Consider the following 25,536-nt stretch of genomic DNA (forward strand, 5'->3'; position numbering starts at 1 on the left):
CTGGTAATAAGATGTCAATATGATGCACATCACTTTTGTGATATTCTTTCCAAAAATATGTAACCTCATTCTAATCATAAGTATCAGACAAACCCAAATTGAGGAACAATCTAGAAAATAACTGATATTCCTCAAAAATGGCATCATCATGAAAAATAAGGAAAGACTAAGGAACTCTCATATTGGAAGAAACTAGAGAGACAAAACACATGTAATGTTGAATCTGGGGTTGGTGAAATGAAAGAAATAACGGAAAAATGATATCAGTGGAAAAACGGTAAAATCTGAGTAAAGTCCATAATTTAGTGAATAGCATGTGCCAGTGTTAATTTCTTAGTACTGATCATTGTACTATTTGCAAGCTGTTAACATTAGGGGAATTTAGGTCAAAGGTATACAATAACTCTACTATTTTTGCAGTTTTTTTTGTAAATCTAAAACTATTTCAAAACAGAAAGTTAAAAAAAGGAAATTAACAGTACAGGTATTAGAAGTACATGTGGGAGAATTATAATCCCAGAGGTAATGAAGGCCTTTCTGAGTATGACATATCCAGAAGAGGTTGATAAGAATAAAAATCTCTACATGTAAAAATAATTTCCAAAACAAAGACTCATGTAAAACTGAAAAAACATATGCAAAACCTGACAAATGAAACGCTGGTTTCTTTAATGTATGAAGCGCTTATATAAATAAACATGTAAAGGACCAGCCAGTAAAAAAAAAAAATGGATAAACAATGTAATATACAGTTTACAGTGGTAAAATGGTTCTTTCTATTTATTTTAGTTTTTTGTTTTAGAGACAGGATCTTGCTCTGTCACCCAGGTTGGAGTGCAGTGGTGTGACTATAGTTCACTGCAGCCACAAACTCCTGGACCTAGGCAATCCTCTTGCCTCAGTCTCCTGAGTAGTAGGCGTGTGCCACCACACCTGGCTAATTTTTAAAAATTTTTTGTAGAGATGAGGTCTCGCTCTGTTGTCCAGGCTGGTCTCAAACTCCTGGGCTTAAGCAGTCCTCCTGCCTCAACCCCCCAAAATGTTGGGATTACATGCATGAGTCACTGTGCCCAGCCTAGAAATGGTTCTTAAACATGAAAAGATGCTTAATCTTTCTCATAGAAAGAGTAATGCCAATTGGAACTACGTTGAAGTACCATTTCTCACCTAGATTAAAGGTTTTTTAAAAATCATTGATAATATGCGGCCAAGAGTATGAAAAACAGGCATCCCTTTACGCGAGTCATAGGAACGTAAATAGACACTTTTTGTGGGGGCTAATTTGGCACTGACTTTCGAAATTGCAAATGCACGTATTCTTGACTCAGCAATTCCACTTTAGGAATTTCCAAGTCTGTATTCTCATGTGAAGAATGATACACACTGTGTGGCACATACAGTGGCATTAAGCACAGCATTGCTTATAAAAGACTGAAAGCAAATGCCCTACGATAGAGATCATGTTAAAGAAATGAAGGTGGCTGGGCACAGTGGCTCACGCCTCTAATCCCAGCACTTTGGGAAGCTGAGGCGGGAAGATCGCTTGAGCCCAGGAGTTTGAGACCAGCCTGGGTAATATAGTGAGACCCTGTCTCTACCCGCAAGAAAGATTAGCCAGGCATAGTGGCATACATACACCTGTAGGCCCAGCTACTCAGGAGACTGAGGCAGGAGGACCACTTGAGCCTAGGAGTTTAAGGCTGCAGTGAGCCATGATTATGCCACTGCATTCCAGTCTGGGTGACAGAGCAAGGCCCTGTTTCGGGAAAACAAAAGAAAAAAAAGAAATGAAGGTGTATCGGTACGAAGCTATCATATCCATCTGTAAAATGTAAGGAAGTTCTGCATATACTGATATAAACTATTTCCAAGATACCATTAATTGAAAAATGCAAAGTACAGAACAATTTTTATAATATACTACCATTTGTGGTTTTTTAAGAAAGGATTTATACTTTTAACAATGGTTACTTCTGGAGAGGTGAACTAGATGATAGGGGTACAAGGAAGAATTTTCACCAAATATACTTTTTGTATCAAATTTTTATCATGTGAAGATATTATTTATTCAAATAAATTTTAATGCTAAGTTATTTTATTCACAGAACCTTATCTGCATTAGCTCACTGGTCTGTCATTTTTAGTGACACACCATATCTTCCACTCTTGGCATTTCCATTTGTAAAATTATTCCAGAACAACCAACTCATCTGTTTTGAAGTTATTGCTACTCTCATAAGTAAGTAAATACTTGTTAAAGTATAAGATCAAGAATGGATTCTTATACATTTTCCTGATGTCTTTGCACCTTTGCAACATTTAACAATTCTAGATGTCTCTACTTTTAAGTCACGAAAGTGTGAAACAATAAGGTATCAAACATAAAATAGACAATTGAAGCATTTATATGTAAACCTTTTTATTTAGAAGAAAATCTGGAGGCCGGGCACGGTGGCTCATGCCTGTAATCCCAGCACTTTGGGAGGCTGAGGCAGGCGGATCACCTGAGGTCAGGAGTTCGAGACCAGCCTGGCCAACGTGGTGAAACCCTGTCTCTACTAAAAATACAAAAATTAGCCGGGTGTGGTGGTGCATGCCTATAATCCCAGCTACTCAGGAGGCTGTGGCAGGAGAATCACTTGAACCCAGGAGGTGGAGGCTGCAGTGAGCTGAGATTGCTCTACAGCACTCCAGCCTGGGCAAGACAGAGCAAGACCCCGTCTCAAAAATAAAAATAAAATAATAATAATAATTTATTGTCTGCATAATATAGTATTTCATCTTATGAATATATCATTTATATATTCCCCAAGTGCAAGAATTTTATTTTTCTAATTTTTCCACACTTTTAAAGCAGTTTTTTGTTGTTATACTACTTTTACTTCATGTTATATATATTTCCCTTATTTTTATAAATTAAATTTCATAAACATTTTTTATTGGCTATTATTACATAATGTGCATGTACTAGTTTAATCTTCTTGGATATTTAGATTGTTCCTAATTTTAACCTCTTTTTTTTTTTTTTTTGAGACGGGAGTCTCACTGTGTCACCTAGGCTGGAGTGCAGTAGTGCTCACTGCAACCTCCACCTCCTGAGTTCATGTAATTCTCCTGCCTCAGCCTCCCAAGTAGCTGGGATTACAGGCACCCGCCACACCATGCCCAGCTAATTTTTGTATTGTTTTAGTAGAGACAGAGTTTCACCACATTGGCCAGGCTGGTCTCGAACTCCTGACCCCAAGTGATCCGCCCACCTCGGCCTCCCAAAGTGCTGGGATTACAGACGTGAGCCCCTGGCACCCGACATTTTATCTATTAAAAGTAACAATGTTGTAACTATCTTCGCATGCAAACATAATAGTTCCCTTTGCGTAGATTTCCAGAATTGGTGTTATCGGGTCATAAAATGTGAATAATTGATTCCCCAAAAGGGTTGTCATATGGTTTGGATGTGTGTCCTCTCCAAATGTCGTGTTGAAATGTGATCCCTGATGTTGGAGGTGGGGCCTAGTGGGAGGTATTGGACCATGAGGGTGAATCATTCATAAATGGCTTAGTGCCATTCCCTTGGTTGTAAGCGAGTTCTCGCTCAGTTAGTTCACACGAGATCTAGTTGTTTAAAAGAGTGTGGCACCACCTGCCCTGTGCTCTCGTTCCTGCCCTCTTCCAGAGGCCCTCACCTCATCTGTCGCTCCTGCTCTCTTCACTTCCTGAAGCAGGTGCTGGAGCCCTGCTTGCACAGCCTGCAGAGCCATGAATCAATTCAACCCTTTTCTTTATAAATTAGCCAGTCTCAGGTATTTCTTTATAGCAATAGAAAATCAAACTAATACAAGTATTAGTTTACCTGCCAATAGCACTACCGTGTTTTAAAAGCAAAAGAAACACAATAACAAAAAGACAAACAAGCCAATTAAAAAATGAGTAAAGGACTTGAATAGACATTTCTCCATAGGCAGTATACAAATGACCATCAAGCATATGAAAAGATGCTCAGCATCATTAGTCATTAGGGAAATGCAAACCAAAACCACAGTGAGATGCCACTTCATACCTACTAGGACAGCTGTAATTTAACAATGTTATATACATGTTAATGAGGATGTGGGAAAATTGGGACCTTCATTTATTGCTGGTAGACATGTAAAATGGTGCAGTCACTATGAAAAAACAATTTGCCATTTCTTCAAAATTCCAAACATAGAATTACCGTATAACCCAACCATTTCACTCCTGGGTATATACCCAAAAGAATTGAAAACTGAGACTTAGACAGATACCCACGTGTGAATGTTCATAGCATCATTATTCCCAATAGCCAAAAGATGGAAACAATCTATTAACAGATTAATGGGTAAGCAAAGTGTGGTAAATACACGCAATGGAATGTTATCCAGCTGTCAAAAGCAATGAGGTCCTGCCACATGCTAGCTACTACACGGGTGAACCTTGAGAACATCCTGCTTAGTGAAATACACTAGATACAAAAGGACAGTTATTGTATGATTTCACTTAGGAAATATCTAGAATAGGTAAATTCATAGACACAGAAAATAAATTAGAGGTTACAGGGGCTAGGGAAAGTGGGACAGAGAGCTAGTCCTGAATGGATACAGAGTTTCTATTTGGGGTATTGAAAGGATTTGGGGAATAGATAGTATAACCCTGAATGGGATCATTGTATAACCCTGAATGGGATTAATACCTCTGAATTGTATATTTAAAAATGGTTAAAGTGGCAAATAACATCTATTTTACTATAATTAATAAAGAAATGGATTGTAGTTAATTTAGGTATGTATGCCAAACTAAATTTTTTATTTCTGGTAAAATCTTGTTACATAGCTAAAATGTTTTATACCAAGGAAATTGATTTTTCTCTTCTAAACAAACATGCCTGAAATCTAAATTTGGGAGATTATTGTTTCCTCTTGGATGGTCAGCATGAGTGGTGGATTTTTATCAAGGGTCTCAAAGTAGTTTTACTCAATAAACATTTATTAAAGAGTAACATTTCAGAGGGGAGCAAGTGAGGAGGCTGCGTCTGACTCCTGCTTTCACGGCCATTGCAGTACCTGGAGCTCCACTTGCACAGATGCAAGCCCAGTGGACACTGGGTGACTCTACCCTTGCTGAGGAAAAAGAACTAAACACTGGCAAGGCAATTCCAAGAAGCTGAGAGGCAGAATGTCATCACATGCGTTCTTTGTGCAGATTTGCCAGGAGAAGCATAAGAAGCACCCAGATACTCCAGTCACCTTCTCAGAGTTTTCTAAGAAGGGCTTCAGAGAAATGGCAGGCCACGTCTGCTAAAGGGAAGGGAAAAGTTGAAGACATGGCAAAGGCAGATTAAGTTTCATCATGAAAGAAATGAAAACCTACACCCCTCCTAAAGGGGAAACAAAGAAGTTCGAGGATCCCAATGCATCTCACAAGAGGCCTCCTTTGGCCTTTTTCTTGTTCTGTTCTTAATATTGCCTTGAAATCAAAGGAGAACATTCAGCCTATCCATTGGTGATGCTGCAAAGAAACTGGGAGAGACGTGGAGCAACACCACTGCAGATGACAAACAGCCTTTTGACAAGAAGTATGCAAAGCCAAAGAAAAAATGTAAAAAGGATATTGCTGCATACCAACCTAAAGGAAAGCCTGATACAGCAAAAATGAGAACCATCAAGGCTGAAAAAAGCAAGAAAAAGGAGGAGGATGAGGAAGATCAAGAAGACAATGAATAAGTTGGTTCTGGCACAGAATTTTCTTCTTGTCTATAGAGCACTTAACAGTCCTGTACACACTCACTTCTTTTAAAGAAAAAATTTGAAATGTAAGGCTCCAGAACATTTGTTTAAACTGTACAGTGTCTTTTTTTGTATAGTTAACACCCTATCGAATGTCTTTGGATAGTCTTGTCCTGGTGATATTTTCAATAGGATTAACTTCGCTTGGTACACTATGGGGATTATAAATTGGCATGGAAATTTAAAAGCAAGTTTTTGTTAATCCACAGCACAAATTAGTTATTTTGAATGGGGATAGTAGTTTTTCATCTTCAGTTTTCTCTAATGTAGCTTATACAAAATAAATGTTTTGTTAACTGAATACCACTCCATAATTGAAAAAAAAAAAAAAAAGTTGCAACTGTTTTGTTGACATTCTGAATGCTTCTAAGTAAGCACAATTTTAAAAAATTTACTGAACTTCAGCTAAGCACTAGCACTGCTGGGATATGCCATCGTTTTGGCTTTTAGGTTTGTAGTCTAGTTGGGACTTAGAAGACATTTTGAAGGAAAAGTCACATCTACATATAATTTGGAACGTATTTGTAAAAGTCTTTTTTAGACACTAGAGTCTCTTTTATGACCAGACATAAAGTCTTTTGGTTTAACAAAGACTCTCCACACAATTATCATTTCTCTGTATTTTGCTATCTGTCAGTTCTCTCTCTAGGTCCTCTACCCATGCTTTTGTGGTGGCATCAAAGCAGAATAAAAATACTTAAGAGCAGGCAGACGGTTACTGTATGCAGTAGGATATCCTCTTGCTAAGGAAAAACAGCGCTCTCTTAATGAAGATTGTAAGGATCAGGCCTTTGGGTATATGTGTGGTGTTTTAAGTTCTCAGAACTACCAGTGTCAGAGACATAACAAGTACTCAGGTGCTGAACCATATTTTTCCACTTAAAATTAAGAGCTGGGCTGGGCGCAGCGGCTCACACCTGTAATCCCAGCACTTGGGATGGCCAAGGTGGGTGGATCAACTGAGGTCAGGGGTTCGAGACCAAACTGGCCAACATAGTGAAACCCTGTCTCTACTGAAAATACAAAAAAAAAAAAAATGAGCTGGGCATGGTGGTAGGTGCCTCTAATCCCAGCTAATTGGGAGGCTGAGACAAGATAATCACTTGAACCCGGGAGGCAGAGGTTGCAATGAGCCGAGATCGCGCCACTGCACTCCAGCCTGGGCCACAGAGTGAGACTCCGTCTCACAAAAAAAAAAAAAAAAAATTAAGAGCTACAGAGAATTTGAAATATTTTTTAAAGCTCAGTCTTTGCAAGATTTTATTTCTGACTTCATTATTAACTCAAATTTAAATAATCAATAATAAGTGAAATAATGGAACTCCAGAATTGGAAAGTTCTTATAAACCACTGTAATCTAATATTCTGCTGATAAAGCCTTCTTTTGCTATTTTGAGATAGGAGATCTTATTATCAAAGGATGAATCTACAACTCAATATTTAAAATTAAAAAAATTTTAAAATTAAGTTAAACATAGTCTTATTGAACAAAACAAACCGATGGTCTTATATACGGCTTTGAGAACAATCTGTGGGTCGTTCTACTGATTACAGAGTGCAAGTGAGTCAAAGTCAGCCTTAGAGTTAGTTGAATATATTCTACTTTGGACTAACTGACTTTCAAAGAATGCCACTGTTACCGATTGGTTGGTTTTCAAGTCAAGTTTACTGAAACAAGTTGTCAATGATCAGTTAGATATAAAACCAGTCCTGGTGGCTATTCCTGGTTATTCCTTATTACCATGCTTATAGAACAATCAGTCTTTTCCTCAGAATGAGGACATTTTTATTGTCATTATAATGTTTAAGGGATTAGGGATACAGTATATACACATTTGTTTTTATATATTGCTGATGTAATTTTGAACATTTTCCTTAAGTTTTCTAATTTTGATTACATGTGAATTTTAGTAGATTTGAGGAGATTGGCATGCTAATGTTGATTACATTTAATGAAGGGTTAAATAGGGGCCCTTTTTAAAAAGATCATTTCGTTAATCAGGTGATGAACAAAGCAGGAGTCAGGAGCCAGAATGCCATCAGGAGTACTTTGGGAAGTTGTGATTGTTTGTTTTAATTAACACTTTTTCATTGACTACTGTAAGGAAATTTGCAAAATTTCTGTAAACATACTATGTTAACATGATAGGATTTTAAAATCGATTGTCATACAATATAAAGAGTTTTTTTTTATTATTCATGGACATATTGAGAACATAAAGATTGGATACATTTAAGAATTGCAAAGAGTTTTGATAACATGGAAAGATATTTAAAGATATGTTTTCTTTTTTTTCCTTCATAGTCAATTGGTGTCAACACTGGTTTGAATATTTTCCTAATCCTCCTATCAATATTCTTAGCATGATAGAAAATGTTTTGGCATTTCATGACAAGGAACTGCTGCAACACTTCATAGATCATGATATAACCTCCCAGGTAAGAAGCATAAGGTTTTTAGAATAACATGCCTTATTTTGTAAGCTAACATTGGTTCTGGTATAAACAGTCTTTTCTTGAAGGAGTATAATAAAAAGCATACTACATGTTGTATTTTTAACAGTATTCCATTCTTTTTCTTCATTAAACTGCCTTCCTGAAAGTCTGTAAAGAAGGGTCCAAATTAAGGTAGTTATTTTCATAATTATGTATTTAATATGATTTTCATAGCTTAAATCGAATGTAAGGGAATATTACCAATGACTCCCTTTTTACTTTTCCCTAGAAAAATAATAAATTTTTCCTTATCTGTTTTAGCTATATGCATGGCCTCTTCTTGAAACTGTGTTCTCAGAAGTGCTGACAAGAGAGGAGTGGCTGAAATTGTTCGATAATATCTTTTCCAACCATCCTTCCTTCCTTCTGATGACTGTTGTAGCCTACAACATATGTTCTAGAACGCCTCTGCTCAGCTGTAATCTTAAAGATGACTTTGAGGTAACGGTCCTTGTTCTTAAGAGAAGGTTCTCAAATATCAGTTATTTCTCTCTATTTTTTTTTTAATTTTTTGAGACAGAGTCTCGCTATGTTGCCCAGGCTGGAGTGCAATGGCGCGATCTCAGCTCACTGCAACCTCCGCCTCCCAAGTTCAAGCGATTCTCCTGCCTCAGCCTCCTGAGTAGCTGGGATTACAGGTGCGCACCATCATGCCCAGCTAATTTTTGTATTTTTAGTAGAGATGGGGTTTCACCATGCTGTCAGGGTGGTCTCAAACTCCTGACCTCGTGATCCACCCACCTCGGCCTCCCAAAGTGCTGGGATTATAGGCGTGAGCCACAGTGCCAGGCCATATCAGTTATTTCAATTGAAAAATCCATTTATTTATTGAGTCCCTGTTATATGTCAGACACTGGTGCTAGGTAGTAGGAATATAAAGGATAACAAGTTAGACCACATCCCTACCTGTGTACAGTTTATAGACAATAAAGTAGGCAATTATAGCAGGCTAGTAGTCTTATAATCATAGCTTAAGAAAAGAATCATGATAATATTGGGGTTTGTGCTTTTTGCATTTTTTTTTTTTTTTTTTTTTTTTTTGGAGACAGAGTCTCGCTCTGTTGCCCAGGCTGGAGTGCAATGGCACAGTCCCGGTTCACTGCAACCTCTGCCTCCCGGGTTCAAGAGATTCTCCTGCCTCAGCCTCCCGAGTAGCTGGGATTACAGGTGCCCGCCACCACGCCCAGCTAAGTTTTTTATATTTTTAATAGAGACAGGATTTCACTAGGTTACCCAGGCTGGTCTCGAACCCCTTACCTCAGATGATCCACCTGCCTCGGCCTCCCAAAGTGCTGGGATTACAGGCATGAGCCACCACGCCCGGCTGCTTCTTGCTTTTATAAAGGATGTTTAACAGGTTATTCTGTTATTCTGTGCATAATCTTATCATGACCCATCTGGTCTTAGAGGGTCTGAATGCTTATTACACATGCAAAAGGTAACTATGAGAGTTTTGAGACTTGGCAGGAAAGTGTCTGAAAGAAAGCATTAAGATCATTATAAAAAGTAGACGCTCTTTTGGTAGACAAGATGAATTAGTTGGGTTCTTGTGTGTGTGTGTATGTGTTACTTATTTAGTGGTTACTGTCCAATTAAACTTTATTTTTACTTCATGATCCTGTGATACATTAATTTGGATCTTCCAGCAAAACAAGATAATGTGGAAACTTTTTAGATATTTTTAAAGAAGCAAGCTAATTTATTTTCAAAGGCTAATTTATAATTTATTTTGGATTTTGAAGAAAAAAAAAATCCAAGCAGAGTTTGTTCCATTGTTGAAGCATTCTTTTTCTATTGTAAGAAAAGCCTTCATTTTTTAATTTTATGTCAGAATTTCTTATGATTGTGAAACTCTTACATTTTTTAAATAAATTGTCTTTGTTGTAAAACTTGAGTAAAGAAAAGCTTTAATGAATTTGCAAAAAAATATATATTCTTAAAGATAGATACACTTTTTTTAAATTCTTGTTTTAATTCTACCTCATAATTGCTTTGTCAGGTAAATCTCGATTTAAACACCAAGTTTTCTTACAGTTTTTTTTTCACCATCGGAATAACCTGGATATAAATGTTGTGATTAGACAAGTTTATCATCTCATGGAGACCACGCCTACTGACATTCATCCAGACAGCATGCTTAATGTTTTTGTTGCACTGACAAAAGGGCAGTATCCAGTATTTAATCAATATCCAAAGTTTATTGTGGACTATCAAACACAGGAACGAGAAAGAATAAGGAATGATGAATTGGATTACTTAAGAGAGAGGTAATTATGGAATAGTTTTTCTTTTTCTGATACAATGAAATATGTTATAAACATAAGAAAGTTTTAATGAAAAATACATTTGGCTGAGCGCGGTGGCTCACGCCTATAGTCCCAGCACTTTGGGAGGCCAAGGCAGGTAGATCACAAGGTCAGGAGTTCGAGACCAGCCTGGCCAACATGGTGAAACCCCGTCTCTACTAAAGATACAAAAAATTAGCCAGGCATGGTGGCACGCCCCTGTAGTCCCAGCTACTCAGGAAGCTGAGGCAGGAGAATCACTTGAACCCAGGAGGAGGAGGTTGCAGTGAGCGGAGATCATGCCATTGCACTCCAGCCTGGGCGACAGAGTGAGACTTCATCTCAAAAAAAAAAAAATGCATTTAAATTATGAGTATTTGTGTAAAATCAGAGTTTGAAGGCTAGAAATATTAAAGATAGTTAATTCTTGCATATGGAAATAAAATAGATTATACATTAATCGGTATACATTTTGTGTTTTGATGATTCTTAGCTTTCTTCTTTGTGTTTTCATAATAATATTACCTACTTAAGGCAGACAGTTGAAGATATGCAAGCTAAAGTCGACCAGCAAAGAGTTGAAGATGAAGCTTGGTACCAGAAACAGGAGCTGCTTCGTAAAGCTGAAGAAACAAGAAGAGAAATGCTCTTACAAGAGGAGGAGAAAATGATACAACAAAGACAGAGGTATGTGTTATCACTTTAAAAAAAAATCTGGACATATAAGTTAGTTGAATAATTTTTATGTTCTTTCATTTTTTCATTTTAGAAACAACATTATATATAGGATTACCCAGCTGTAGCATTTCTATAAAGCAACTATTAAGTTAATAAAAAGAATCTTTATATACCACTTTTCAAAAAAAATTGCTATGTAGTAAAATGTAATTCTGAAGCTATGCTGAATATAATATAGCTTTGCATGGATTAATGTTCCTTGAAGGACATTATTTAGAAACATTATTCTATAGTGGGCAGAAATGCTTTGTAATAGAATGCTAGGTACATCACCTTTAGTAGAGTATAATTTTTTTAATTGTGTTTTAAACATACCTGTGTGACCTGACAGTTGTAACATAGAATGATTATGTCATTACCCATTTAACACTTTGGAGGACAGGGGAATGAGTATTAAATGCGTATTCAAAAGTACGTTAGCTGGGTGTGGTGCCACATACCTATAGTCCCAGCTACTAGGTAGGATCACTTGAGCCCAGGAGGTCAAGGCCAGCCTGGGCAACATAGTGAGACCCTGTCTCTTAAAAAATAAAAAGAAAAAACTTAAAAATAAATACATAAAAGTATGTTAATAAGGTAAAATGTGTAAATTAAGTAAAGTAATGGGATAAACATTGAGACTAAGCCCAATAGTTGGGAAACTCACTTCTGTGTTTATTGATTCCTATTCTTAGATGGAACTTTATGTAACAGATTTATAGTGTGGGTTAAAAGGAATTACTGAACTGAGCCAGTGAGCTTTCTACTAAAATTCTTAAAGCATAAGTATACATCATCTTTGGTAACGGTGGAGCAGTTCTCGCATTCTTCTTTCAAATAAAGGATATCAATTGTATTGAAATGATCAGCATGGCAGACCTGTTATGAAAAAACTAAATCATATTAGGAATTGCTGTATTTGTTCCACTTGATGTATTTTGTATTTAAGGCTAGCTGCTGTGAAAAGAGAGCTGAAAGTAAAGGAAATGCACTTACAAGATGCTGCAAGAAGGCGTTTTCTGAAGCTTCAGCAAGATCAACAGGAAATGGAACTAAGAAGACTGGATGATGAAATTGGGAGAAAGGTTTATTATTCTTAACTTAGTTCTCATACATCATCTCCATTTACTCTCACTTAAATGTAATGAACACCTTCAAATTAAATAATATTCTTAGAGTCCACCATGAATACTAAATAGCCGCTTTAATTTTATTTACTTTTCCCCTCAGCTTTCTCATTCTCTTTTGTATTTCATGAATGGCTAAATATTTAAGAAATGCCAGGAAAATTAGTCAAGTGTCCTTGGTGACTATTTCTCTAAAACTAGAAATATCAGTATCAGTTAGCCATTAAGTTATTTTTTCTTTTCTTTTCTTTTTTTTTTTTTTTTGAGACAGAGTCTTGCTCTGTTGCCCAGGCTGGAGTGCAGTGGCGTGACCTCAGCTCAGTGCAACCTCCGCCTCCCGGGTTCAAGTGATTCTCCTGCCTCAGCCTCCCAAGTAGCTGGGATTACAGGTGCACGCCACCACACCCAGCTAATTTTTGTATTTTTCTTAGAGACGGGATTTCATCATGTTGGCTAGGCTGATCTCAAACTCGTGACCTCAGGTGATCTGCCCACCTTGGCCTCCCAAAGTGCTGGGGTTACAGGCGTGAGCCACCAAGCCCGGCAGTTAATTTTTAATTAGGGGACATATTCTTTTTTCATATAAAAATTATCTGTGGCCAGTATAAAAATAATTTCCAGTACAAAACATACAGAATTAAAAATTGACCTTCTCCATTAGTTCTCATGTCATCCCCAGAGAAACACTATTAAAAAATGGTTAATTGGCTGGGTGCGGTGGCTCATGCCCGTAATCCCAGCACTTTGGGAGGCCGAGGCAGGCAGATCACCTGAGGTCAGGAGTTCGGAACCAGCCTGGCCAACATGGTGAAACCCTGTCTCTACTAAAAATACAAGAATTAGCTGGGCATGGTGGCAGGCGCTTGTAATCCCAGCTACGCAGGAGGCTGAGGCAGGAGAATTGCTTGACCCTGGGAGGTGGATGCTGCAGTGAGCCGAGATCATGCCACTGCACTCCAGCCTGAGCGACAGAGTGAGACTCAGTCTCAAAAAAAAAAAAAAAAAAAAAAAGGTTAATTACATAGACTTTCAGGTATGTTCTATAGATAGAGGAGTAATTATAGTCATGTTTTCCTATATTTATACAAAAATGGGATTATTCTCATTATACATTGTTTTTGTAACCTGCTTTTTAAAATTTCATATGCTGAATATCTTTTCATATTTGTTATATGTGTATCTATTTCTCTTTTTGTGGTTGTATAATATTCCATTGAATTAATAGCTTATTTAATCCTTTGCTATTGGACATTTCGGTTATTTGCAGTGTTTTGCAAATTACAAAACCATGCTACATTGTAAAAGTCTTTGAGTACTTGCACACATACTTTTGTTGAGTAACTTCTAAATTATGACAAATTGTTCTCTAAAAATGAAACAGTTTCAGCTGTTTTAAGTCTGTAAGAGTACCCACTCCCTAGTATAGTCAATTGTACTGCATCAGTCTTAATATTTGCCAAGCAGATAGATGACAAATCGTCTATTTTAATTTGCCTTTTTTTATTGTTAGTGAGGTTAAGTATCTTTTCTGTTACTTATCTTCCATGTGTAGAATTACACATTACATATTTGTATCATTTGTCCATCTTTTTGTCAAGTTAGACTTAACTTTCTGTCAGGTTAGCTTACTTATTTCCAAAAGGCAAGTCAATTGTCCCAACACCATTTGTTGACTATTATCCAAGTCATTTGCCAACTGATGGTTTTTACATATTAAATTCTCTTACATATTTGATCTCCTTCCTCGCTTTTTCTATTCCTAAGCCAGTACCACACTGTTTGAATGACAGTAGCTTTGAAGTGTTTTACCAACTAGGCCTAGTTCTCACTCATTAGTCTTCCTTTTCAGAGTTTTCCTCAGTATTCTCAAATGTTTATCATTCCAAGTAGACTCTAAGAATTGTTTCACTTTTGGAATTCTCACCTCTCCCAATCCTATTGGAATTTTTATTAGGATTACACTGACTTTATGCACTAATTTAGAGTTTCAAGCCTAGTTTTGATAAAATACTAAGTATTTTTTAAGTCTTTTTTTTTTTTTTTTTTTTTTTTTTTTGAGACAGGGTCTCATTCTGTCACCTGGGCTGGAGTACAGTGGTGCGATCCCGGCTCACTGCAACCTCCACCTCCCGGATTCAAGCAATTCTCATGCCTCAGCCTCCTGAGCAGATGGGATTACAGGTGCCTGCCACAACACCCATCTAATTTTTGTATTTTTAGTAGAGACAGGGTTTCACCATGTTGGTCAGGCTGATCTTCAACTCCTGACTTCAAGTGGTCTGCCCACCTTGGCCTCCCAAAGTGCTGGGATTACAGGCACCTGGCCTAAGTCTTTCAAAGTATTTTTAATTCAATAGTATTAGAAATCTATCATCTCTTTATAGCATGATACTTCTTGTTTTGTTTAAAGCTTGTTAATTTTAAATTGGTTTTCAAAATCCAAGATTTCTTTTAATTTTCTCATCTAGTGAATGACATTGATATTTCATTACTGTAGAAAAGTGTATGTTCTTCCCGCAAAGTAAGCTCAGAACTCTGATGTCTTTATTCCAAACCCCTTTGAAACAGGAGGAGGCATTTTTTGGTCCAAGAATTCTATAGACTCCTTTCAGCAACATGATCTGGCCTCCGCCTACCCTTGCAGCCTCCTGTCCTCCCAGCTACCTGTTCTGATGTTGTGCTCTGACCCTGCCAAACTGCAAAAGCTCTTCTCATGGTTCAGACTCTAGCAGGAAAGGCTGCTTGAATCTGAAGTGACAAGTACATGTGACTGTGAACATCTGTTAGCAGCAAGCAAAGCTGATCGGTTTTTGCTGTGGCACATAGCTGTTTGTATCTCTGAAAATTCATAAGCAAAAGAGCTCTGTAATTGAAATTCCTAAAAAGCGTGATTTGCTAGGCCACACCTCTCCTCCACTTCCTGGCATTATTACTGTTCTTGCTTCACACAATCAAGCTTCCCCCAACCTTTGAGCTAGCTCCTTTCCCAATAACCTCTTTAAATTGAACTGGTCCTGGTCCATGTTTCTCTTTTAGTCTTTGGATATATATGTTTGCACATCCAACTGTATTCTCATTTAGTGTTTCTCCTATTTTAGGTATTCGATAGCATGTCTTTTACCATAATGACAATATCTAACATTTCACTTTATATCTAAGATCATTTCTAAGAGTCTCTAGAGAGTTCCATATCCCATATCCAAAGCCTCTAGTATATAGGAATAAAAAGCCTCCAACTAATCAAATTTTGGAAATAGGTGAACTCTAAATTAATTCACTTGGAGCAGAACACATACAGGTTGAACCATCTGCAAGAAATTTAAACCTAGAATTGTTAATTGTCAAACCATACTTATAAAAGTAGAGAAGTTTAGTCAAAAAGAGCATTAAATAAATGTTATATTTTTATCTACCCCAGATTTAAATTGCTCAAGTTTTTCTAACTCATGATATTGGTTACTGTAATACTGTAAGAACTGCTATCTGTTCTTCCAGTCTGAGTAGATGGGCATATGGTATTGTGCTTTTTATTTTTAAATTAAACTTAACTTTAACTGAGAGATTATTCCTAGGTTCTGCAGTGAATATTAATCTTTGTCTGTTACTCTGGTTTCAAAAACCCAGTTGCTGTTATTTTAAATACTGTTAGTAGGTCGTTCAGATTACAGGATTACTAAATATATTAAAAATTATTTTGTAAATTCTTTTTGGTATTTACAGTTTGTTGTTTGGCCATAGGTATATATGAGAGATCGAGAAATTGCTGCCACAGCCAGAGACCTAGAAATGAGACAGCTGGAACTCGAATCACAAAAGAGACTTTATGAGAAGGTATAATTCAGTTATTTCCAACATAAGAAAAGCAGGTTTTGGCCAGGCTCAGTGGCTCAAACCTGTAATCCCAGCACTTTGGGAGGATGAGGTGGAAGGAGGATCACTTGAGCTAAGGAATTCCAGACCAGACCTGGGCAATATAGTGAGACCCCATCTCTACTAAAAGTTTAAAATTTAGCTGGTTATGCTTACCTGTAGTCCCAACTACTCAGGAGGCTGAGGCAGGAAGATCACTTGAGCCCTGGAGTTCGAGGCTGCAGTGAACCATAATCACATCACTGTACTCCAGCCTGGGCAAACAGAGCGAGACCCTATCTCCAAAAAAAAAAGAAGGAAAAAGAAAAGCAGGGTTTGTATAAGCCCATTTTAGACTGTATTTATTCATGGTTTTCTAGCGTTCATTTTATTCACTTTTTAAGCAGAATATAGTGCCACACAGGATTGTAAGGTAGCCAAAATGTCTGAATGTACAGTTTGTTGTAATTATTTAATTCATGTTTCTGTTAGCAGCTTAGTCTAGTGTCTGAAGCACCAGATGTAGGCCCCAGATTTTGCCTCAGGATTTTTTACCAACTTACTAAATTTTCCTGTAATTACGTAATAGTGACTACAAAATTATCTCAATACCTCACAAGGATCCTGAAAGGTAAATCAGTCAGGAGCTGTAAAGTACTTTCTTTCTTTATTTGTATTTTTATGTATTTATTTTTGAGACAGTCTTACTCAGTTGCCCAGGCTGCAGTGCAGTGGCACCATCTCAGCTCACTACAACCTTCACCTCCCCTGCTCCAGTGATTCTCCCACGTCAGCCTCCCCAGTAGCTGGGACTACAGACGTGCGCCACCAAGCCTATCTAATTTTTGTGTTTTTTGTAGAGATAGGGTTTCACCTTGTTGCCCAGGCTGGTCCCAAACTCCTGGGCTCAAGCAATCTGCACACCTCGGCCTCCCGAAGTGCTAGGATTACAGGCATGAGCCACCACGCCTGGCCTGTAAAGTACTTTAAATTGGAATCTTCTGGAGTTAACTCAGCAAATATCTGCTTAGTACTTACTATTCAGTTTTCAAGACACTGGAAAAAAGGAGCTTTGTTAATATAAATTTTTATTATTTAGGAAAAATGTTTTGTTACTCATTTAGTGTTGAAACTGTAAGTTTTCACTTCTTTCAGCCCACTTAAAAAGTCAGACCTTTTAGCCTGGGCAACACAGCAAGACCCCATCTCTACTAGAAATACAAAGAAATAGCCAAATGTGGTAGTGCGCACCTGTGGTGCCAGCTATTCAGGATGCTGAGGTGGGAGGATCACTTGAGCCCGGGGGACGGAGGCTGCAGTGAGCCAAGATTGTGCACTTCAGCCTGGGTGACAGAGTGAGACCCTGTCTCAAAAAAAAAGTCATACTTTTAGTTTGAAATTAGTGATAACTGTGAATTCACAACACATAACATATATGTTTGATATCCACATTAGGTGAGATTTAAACCATATAGCATCCATTTACACCTATAACACTTTTAAAGTCTCCACACTGAATTTCTTCTAGAACAGAGCAAGGGATTTACAGTTTGGCTGAGTCTCCCATGATTTGGAATTAGATGTAATTCATTTGGACTAAGCTAAACTTTACTATATTTTCTTTGGGGGTGGAGGATAGTGGCAATCGAAGGGTATAATTTTAGAACTAACAGGGAATTTGCAAGAAAAATACTAAAAATTTCCAGATATTTGTCTCTCAGATTTTTAAACACTAACATTCTACTAAATTTGCTTTCTCTTCCTCTTTTTCTTTACCTATGCACATATATACACACAAACATATACTTGTTTTTCTGAACTGTTACAGACGTGATGCTCCTTTACCTCTAAATACTTCAGTGTATATTTCCTAAGACTAAGGAATCCTCTTATATAACCACCGTACAGTTCTCAAAATCAGAAATTAACATAAGATGATCTGATATATAAACCTTATTCAGATTTGATCCATTGTATCCAAAATGTCCTTTAGAGCAAAAGAAAATCTGAGATCTCATCCATTGTTTTGTTGTTGTCACTTTAGTCTCCTTTAAAATAAGAAATGTTCGTGACTCTGTCTTTGTATTTTATGACATTGATATTTTTTGAAGCATGTAAACCAGATAATTTGTAGAATGTCCCTTAATTAGCATTTGGCTGTTGTTTCTTCATGAGAAGATTTAAGTTACCCATAGGAGTGCATAACTTTAATCTGTGGCATTCCTGCAACAGAAGTTATGTTTTGAGATGGAGTCTCGCTCTCTCACCCAGGCTGGAGTACAATGGCGCGATCTCGGCTCACTGCAACCTCTGCCTCCCGGGTTCAAGAAATTCTCCTGCCTCAGCCTCCCGAGTAGCTGGGATTACAGGTGCCCACCACCGCACCTGGCTAATTTTTGTATTTTTAATAGAGATGGGGTTTCACCATATTGGCCAGCCTGGTTTCAAACTCCTGACCTCAGGTAATCCGCCCGCCTCGGCCTCCCAAAAGCTGGGATTACAGGTGTGAGTGACTGCTCCCAGCCTATGCTGAGTTTTTTTTCTGTGTATCAGAATGGGAGGCAAATGTTTGTTAATCTCTTTTTGCTGTCTTTTGAAGGAATTATTTATTTAAACAAACCAATAGGATTAGAGAAGAGTTAAACTATTCATCAAAACAAATATATGAAATCCTGAACTTTATCTGGTCAGTTAGGTACGGATGTGCTGCCACTACCTTTTTCAAATTGGCTGTAGTGATTGCCACTTTACCTGCCCAATTTATCTCTTACATTAGGTTGATTAAATGTGTCTATTTCTAAAGAAATTATGTCCCAGAAAACCAACAATATTATGATTACCTCCACATGAGCTCAACATTCCATACGTATCTAATTTGAATCAAATTATTGTTCAACAAAAGAATGAAACTAAGTATAAACTAAAAGAAACAAGTAAATACTAACCTGTACTCCAGATCCCATCCCCTCATAATCTTCTAGGACCTCATTTATCAAGTCTGTTTTCTATCTGTCTTTCACATGTATGTACCTTCTCCTTCGGATAATACCAGTCTTGCAAAGATTGCTATAAAGATTAAATGAGTTAATACGTATTTGTCTGTGTCAGGGGTCCCCAAGACCACCCTCAGGTTCAGTGATTCACTAGGACTCACAGAACTCCAGAAAAGCTCTTATATTCATGGTTACATTTTATTATAGTAGAGGAATACAGATTAAAATCAGTAAAGGTAAAAGGCACATGGAGTGGAGTCCAGGAGAGACCAGGCAGAAGCTTCTAGTTGTCCTCTCCCAGTGGAGTTGTACAGACAGCATTTAATTTCCTGCAAAGATGTGCGACAGTATGTAAGACTATTGCCTACCAGGCAAGCTCACTCAAGCCTTGGTATCCAGGGTTTTACTGGGGGTCATGTAGACATGGAGTGCATATGTGGCTGACTTTAGTTACTTTCTCTACAACCCATCCAAAGGTCAAACTGACAGAGCATGGCCCATGGTTCCCACCAGATCCCATCATTTAGCAGAAACCAGCTGGCATGGCCAATATCTCCAGGTATACAGACACTCTTATCAGGCAGAGTATTCCAGGGGCTTAGAGATTATCTCCCAGGAACTGATCAAGGGCCAGTCTTTTCTTTAGAATGTGCAGGTTTTTAATTACTCAGGCCTACTGAGTTAACCCTTTATTGCACAGTGTCTGATGTATGATACATATTGGATAGATACTAGTTTCCCTCTTTTCCCTTTGGCCTAAAAAGCTCTATTATTTTAAAAAGCTAATGGACAACTCCAGTATGCACACGTCGTCCAATATGTTTCTTCATACCACTACCCAATCTTTGATCCTCTTCACCATTTTTAGAGTTCCATTGTTTCCTCTTAGTCCTTAATCTCTACACATACATGATTTTACTTCTTTATGGAGTAGCTAAAATTCTATGTTCTGCTTGTCTTCTTCGCTTAATAAAATTCTTTTTAAAATTCTTTTTCTAAATGGCTACATATTTTTGTAACTGTCATTGGTAGTGGCTGCTGGTGAACCATAACTTATTTAAGCTTTCTTCTGTTGTTAGATGTTTAAGTGGTTTACAATTTTTGATAATAAGCATCTTCACATATATATCTTTTTGCATATAATTGAAAGATATTTTTATTTTTAGCAAATTATAAGGTAATTATGCTGTCTATAGATGATTAGAAAAGTAGAAAAAATCCCTCGAGAAATAACAACTGCTAATGTCATTAATAGTGATATGAGATTATTTGGTACATACAATTTGTGTTTGGCTTTTTTAACCTACATTTTCATGAAGGCTGTTTACTATCCTTCTCCCAACTACTGTACCTGTTAGCATTTACTCTCCTATATCCCTGCCCCTGGCAGCCACGAAGCTACTTTCTGTGCCCATGGATTTGCCTATTCTGGATATTTCATATAAATGGAATCATACAATGTGTGATTTTTTATGACTGGCTTCTTTCACTTAGCATGTTAAGCATCTTTTCATATGTTTATTGGCCATTTTGTATTTTCTTTGGAGATAGTGTGATTAATGTTTACTTAAAGTATGTATGGGTCATATTTCTTGTTTTGTTTTGTTTTTGAGACAGAGTCCCACTCTGTCACCCAGGCTGGAGTGCAGTGGCGTGATCTCAGCTCACTGCAACTTCTGCCTCCCGGGCTCCTGCAATCTTCCTGCCTCAGCCTCCCAAGTAGCTGGGACTACAGGCGCACACCATCACACCCTGCTAATTTTTGTAGTTTTTATAGAGAGGGTTTTACTATGTTGCTCATGCTGGTTTCAAACTCCTGGGCTCAAGCAGTCCTCCCACCTTGGCCTCCCAAAGTGCTGGGATTATACGTATAAGCCACTATGCCTGGCACATATTTCTTGTTTTTTTTTTTTTTCAAACAGTCATGTGATTTTTTGTTGAAAACTAGACATTTTAAATACAATGCTCCTCAACTTATGATGGGGTTATGTCCTGATAACTTATAGAAATATTGTAAGTTGAAAATTCATGTAACACCCTGATAGACCCATCATAAAATCAAAAAATCATTACGTCAACTCAAAGACCGTCTGGAATATAATGTAGCAATTTTGGAAATAAGATTGTCTCCCCTCCCCAGGGTTTCTTCTTGTTTCTTTGCTTAGTGACTTTTCTGAACTAATTTTGAAAGTCCCTATTCTTTGTTGTATATAACCACTGATGTCTCTACTCAGGTAGTTTGGGGGTCAGCAAATGATTGAACAGAGATTTTAATATATTCTTTGAACCAGTAAGCTTCTAGTAGTTGTTGAGGGGCTCTGTGTGCATGTTAGGGCACGCCTTTATCACTCAGCTAGGCAGTTTATACTTTCTAGATTCCGCTTCCTGGTTATGCAAAACCTCAGAGTTGACCAGAAGTGTGAGATCTTAGGTCTTTCTGTGGTCTGAGAACACAGCCCGTAGCATATACACAGCCTTACACATGCACATGACCTTCCAGGAACCTATCAGCTTTTTTAAGCCTCCTGTGGACATCTGATTCTCCAGTTTTTCCTGTTAAGCTTTTTACTTAGCCTATTGGTTGCTCTTCTAAGATCTACTGCCCCAAGTAGCCAAGATACTCAACAGTTTGCTCTAATTGTTTTCAGCAACTTCCCCAGGGATAAGGCTATTCTGCACTAGGTGAGCTCTGAGTGAGATCAAAAAAGACAGCCTTAGGAGTGGTCTTTCAGGGACCACCAGACAGGTCAAACAGTGACAGTTCTCCAGCAATGGTGGTTTGAAGGATCTCCGTCCAACCCCCTTTTGCTTGGCTTCCTTCCTTGGCTTCCAGGCTGCTGGTTTTCAAGACTAATGTATAGGCTGGACATGGTGGCTCACACCTGTAATCCTAGCATTTTGGGAGGCCGAGGCAGGCCGATCACATGAGGTCAGGAGTTCAAGACCAGCCTAGCCAACATGGTGAAACCCTGTCTCTACTAAAAATACAAAAAAGTTAACCAGGTGTGGTGGCATGCACCTGTAATCCCAGCTACTTGGGAGGCTGAGGCAGGAGAATCACTTGAACCCGGGAGGTGGAGGTTGCAGTGAGCTGAGATTGTGCCACTGCACTCCAGCCTGGGTGACACAGTGAGACTCTGTCTCAAAAAATAAAAAGACTAATGCATAGCTTGGGAGTGGGGTGGGAACAGGAAAAATGCAAGATGAAATGTCAGAGAGCTAGCTGTTCTTACCAAGATTCAGCCATTTTTATAAGTAAATGCTCCCCAGATAGCTCCAAGCCTTTGGTTAATTTCCAGAATGCTGAAGAAGTTCATTTTGACATTTTTTTTTATCAGTGTTCTCAATGCTTTTATGGATGAGAGGATTTCCAGGGGTCCTTACTCTGCCATTTTTGCTGATGTCTCCAGTCGTTGAATTTTACTTTGAAAATTAGATGATTACAGCTTTTATTTGTGTGCATATTACTATTCTGAAAAAAGTCATTTTTGTATTCTAGCGTTATATAAATTAGTGATTTTTTTTTACAAATGATTTTAACAGAATCTTACTGAAAATCAAGAAGCTCTTGCAAAAGAAATGCGAGCAGATGCAGATGCCTATAGACGAAAAGTGGATCTTGAAGAACACATGTTTCATAAGCTGATAGAAGCAGGTGAAACCCAGAGCCAGAAAACTCAGAAGGTAAAAATATGATCCATTTAGTATACATGCAGAGGAGAAATTTTCATCTGTCACCCTCTTAAGAGAACAAAATCGAAATTAAACTCTGTGAAGTTGAGTTAGTTTGTTTCTTTGCTTCAGTTGTCACAGTTCCTAGAATCTCACATTGCTTCCTTTTATATATGGGATGCTTACTTCACTGACAATCACATGATATGCATGTCTTTTTCCTACAGTTTGAGGAAATACAAAGGAATAGTGACTTACAAGAAAATACAAAGGAGTAGTGACTTAGAAGAAAATACGAAGGAATAGTGACTTAAAAGAAAATGCAAAGGAATAGTGACTTTACAAATTTTACTGTCCTTCTGTGTTCTGCCTCTGAAATTGTCCCTGTGTTGATTAGGTTCAAAGCATCAGGTCCCTGCATGGTATGTAAGCCAGCACTTCCAAGTGTATTGTGTGGACTATTAACTATTATTCAATAAGATGGGGGATGGTCAAATAAGTATTGGAAATGCTGTCTTAAAGTGAGGTATTTTTCACGCCAAATTTGAGGATTTAAGAGAATTTCCAAGATGTATTTCAGAGAATTTCTTACGGAGTACACTTTCAGAAATGCTGACTTAAGTGAATTGAAATAGAACTTGAGACTTTCAAAGAAGAGCTTTCTCTATTATCTCTTTAACAAAATGTTAAATGGGTATGTGTACCGGTCTGCTCCTATTCCAAAAACCAGGAATAGTGTACCGTAGATACCTTCTGTTGTACAACAGTCTCTTAGGTGATTTCCTCAAGATATTCCATTTTTTTTTAATAGGCTTGTGTCCAGTCTGTTAAAATGGGCTCTTCTTCAGAGTCTCCTCTTCAGAGTGCTGAAAACATGGAAATTGTTGAATCCCACCCATACCCTAGCCGATAAGTTCTTAACCTTGGCTGTAAATTAGAGTCACTTGAAGAGCTCTTTTTTTTTTTTTTTTTTTTTTTTTTTTTTTGTAGAGATGGAGTCTTACTCTGTTACCCAGGCTGGAGTGCAGTGGCACAATCTCAGCTCACTGCAACCTCCACCTCCTGGGTTCAAGCAATTATCCTGCCTCAGCCTCCTGAGTAGCTGTGACTACAGGCGCGCGCTGCCACGCCCAGCTAATTTCTACCTGAAGAGCTTTTTAAAGGTGCTGGTACCCCGCTGTCCAGTGATTGGTTTAATTGGCTTGTGGCAGGGCCCAGTCATCAGCTTATTTTAAACACTCCCAGGTGATTCTAATATGCAGCCAGAGTTGTGAACAACTGCCCCAGACACTTGGATACATTGAATGGTTATACCTTCATTTTATGTACTAGTAGTTTGACCTTGTTTCTGAAATGTATAACTTTTTCCTAGGTGATTAAAGAAAATTTGGCAAAGGCTGAACAAGCATGCCTAAATACCGACTGGCAGATTCAGTCTTTACATAAACAAAAATGTGATGATCTACAACGAAACAAATGTTACCAGGAAGTAGCCAAACTCCTTAGGGAAAACAGAAGGAAAGAAATAGAGATAATAAATGCAATGGTGGAGGAGGAAGCCAAGAAGGTAAAAAATAGTGTTATAAACTTTTTAATATCAAGCATTGATTTTTTTTTTTTTTTTAAAAGACAGAGTCTCACTTTGTTGTACAGCCTCGAAATTCAAACTCGGGGCCTTAAGCAATCTGCCTGCATCAGCCTCCCAAAGTGCTGGGATTACAGACGTCAGCCCCTTTATCCAGCCTAAGCACTGAAATTTTGAAATAGTACAGAGTCAAATGACAAAAGCATCATACCAAGTCGTTTTTGCTGGAAAAGATAATCTGATTTTAATAGGTGTTTGTCAGAGACGTCGTCTAATATTGATTCTACCTAAAAATGACTAAGCGTCTTTCTCATTTACATTAGTGTGCTTCAATTTCTCAACTTCCTGGATTTTTGTTCTGGCTGATTGAATAATATTAGTACTTTAATTTAGCTAATTCTTTATACTTACAATGTAAAAGATGCTGAATAGGTAGAAATGGTACGTAGCTGCTAGTAACAAAACCCCAAATTACAGTGACTATGAACAGGATAGAAATATAGTCTGGAGGTAGGGAGTCTAGGGTTAGTATTGTGGCTCCAAGGTTATCAGGGAAATGCCATCTTTCAGCCTTTCTGCACCTCTTCTTAGTGTATGGCTTTCATTTTCAAGGTTACCTTACCATCCAAGATGACTCCTGGAGTTCCAGCCATCACATACACATTCCAGGCAGCGGGGAGAAGGGAGAGCACAAGTGCGAATGTTCTGCCTCCCATCTGAGTCACACTCCCTTCTAACTTCTTTCCAGGAGTTCCATATCATATTTCAAGCCACATTTGTCAGCAAAGGATGCTGAGAAAAATAGTATTCTTCACAGGGAGCATTATCATCCCAAATAAAATTAAGATTCTGTTCCTATCAGTTAATAAGATAGCTAAAAATAAAAACAAAAGATTCTACTGCTAAAGAAGAATCAAAGAATGGAGTCCGAGGAGGTAATTAATAGTATATGTCACACGTGTGTATCTTTTGGTTGATCCTCGCAAAGACTCTGGGATCTGTGCTCTGGAG

At 37.8% G+C, this 25,536-nt stretch overlaps 1 protein-coding gene and 1 pseudogene across 28 annotated transcripts in view; both read left to right on the forward strand.

Moving 5' to 3' along the window:
- Positions 1-25,536, forward strand: part of TBC1D31 (TBC1 domain family member 31) — a 92,467-nt gene that overhangs the window by 45,243 nt on the left and 21,688 nt on the right. For 4 of the 28 annotated variants that reach the window (XM_011517379.3, NM_145647.4, NM_001330606.2 and 1 more), the window contains 9 exons: positions 2,106-2,239; positions 8,107-8,240; positions 8,559-8,738; positions 10,332-10,564; positions 11,117-11,269; positions 12,249-12,384; positions 16,165-16,257; positions 22,812-22,952; positions 24,313-24,507. In XM_011517379.3, the coding sequence (XP_011515681.1) occupies positions 2,106-2,239; positions 8,107-8,240; positions 8,559-8,738; positions 10,332-10,564; positions 11,117-11,269; positions 12,249-12,384; positions 16,165-16,257; positions 22,812-22,952; positions 24,313-24,507 (1,399 nt within the window). Of the gene's footprint in view, positions 1-2,105; positions 2,240-8,106; positions 8,241-8,558; positions 8,739-10,296; positions 10,565-11,116; positions 11,270-12,248; positions 12,385-16,164; positions 16,258-22,811; positions 22,953-23,167; positions 23,363-24,312; positions 24,508-25,536 lie in introns of those variants that run through there. The other 24 variants (NM_001363151.2, NM_001363148.1, NM_001363155.1 and 21 more) reach the window with 11 other exon arrangements.
- On the forward strand, positions 5,161-5,735 carry HMGB1P19 (high mobility group box 1 pseudogene 19; annotated as a pseudogene).

Source organism: Homo sapiens, chromosome 8, assembly GCF_000001405.40.
Source record: "Homo sapiens chromosome 8, GRCh38.p14 Primary Assembly".
Classification (NCBI taxonomy): domain Eukaryota; kingdom Metazoa; phylum Chordata; class Mammalia; order Primates; family Hominidae; genus Homo; species Homo sapiens.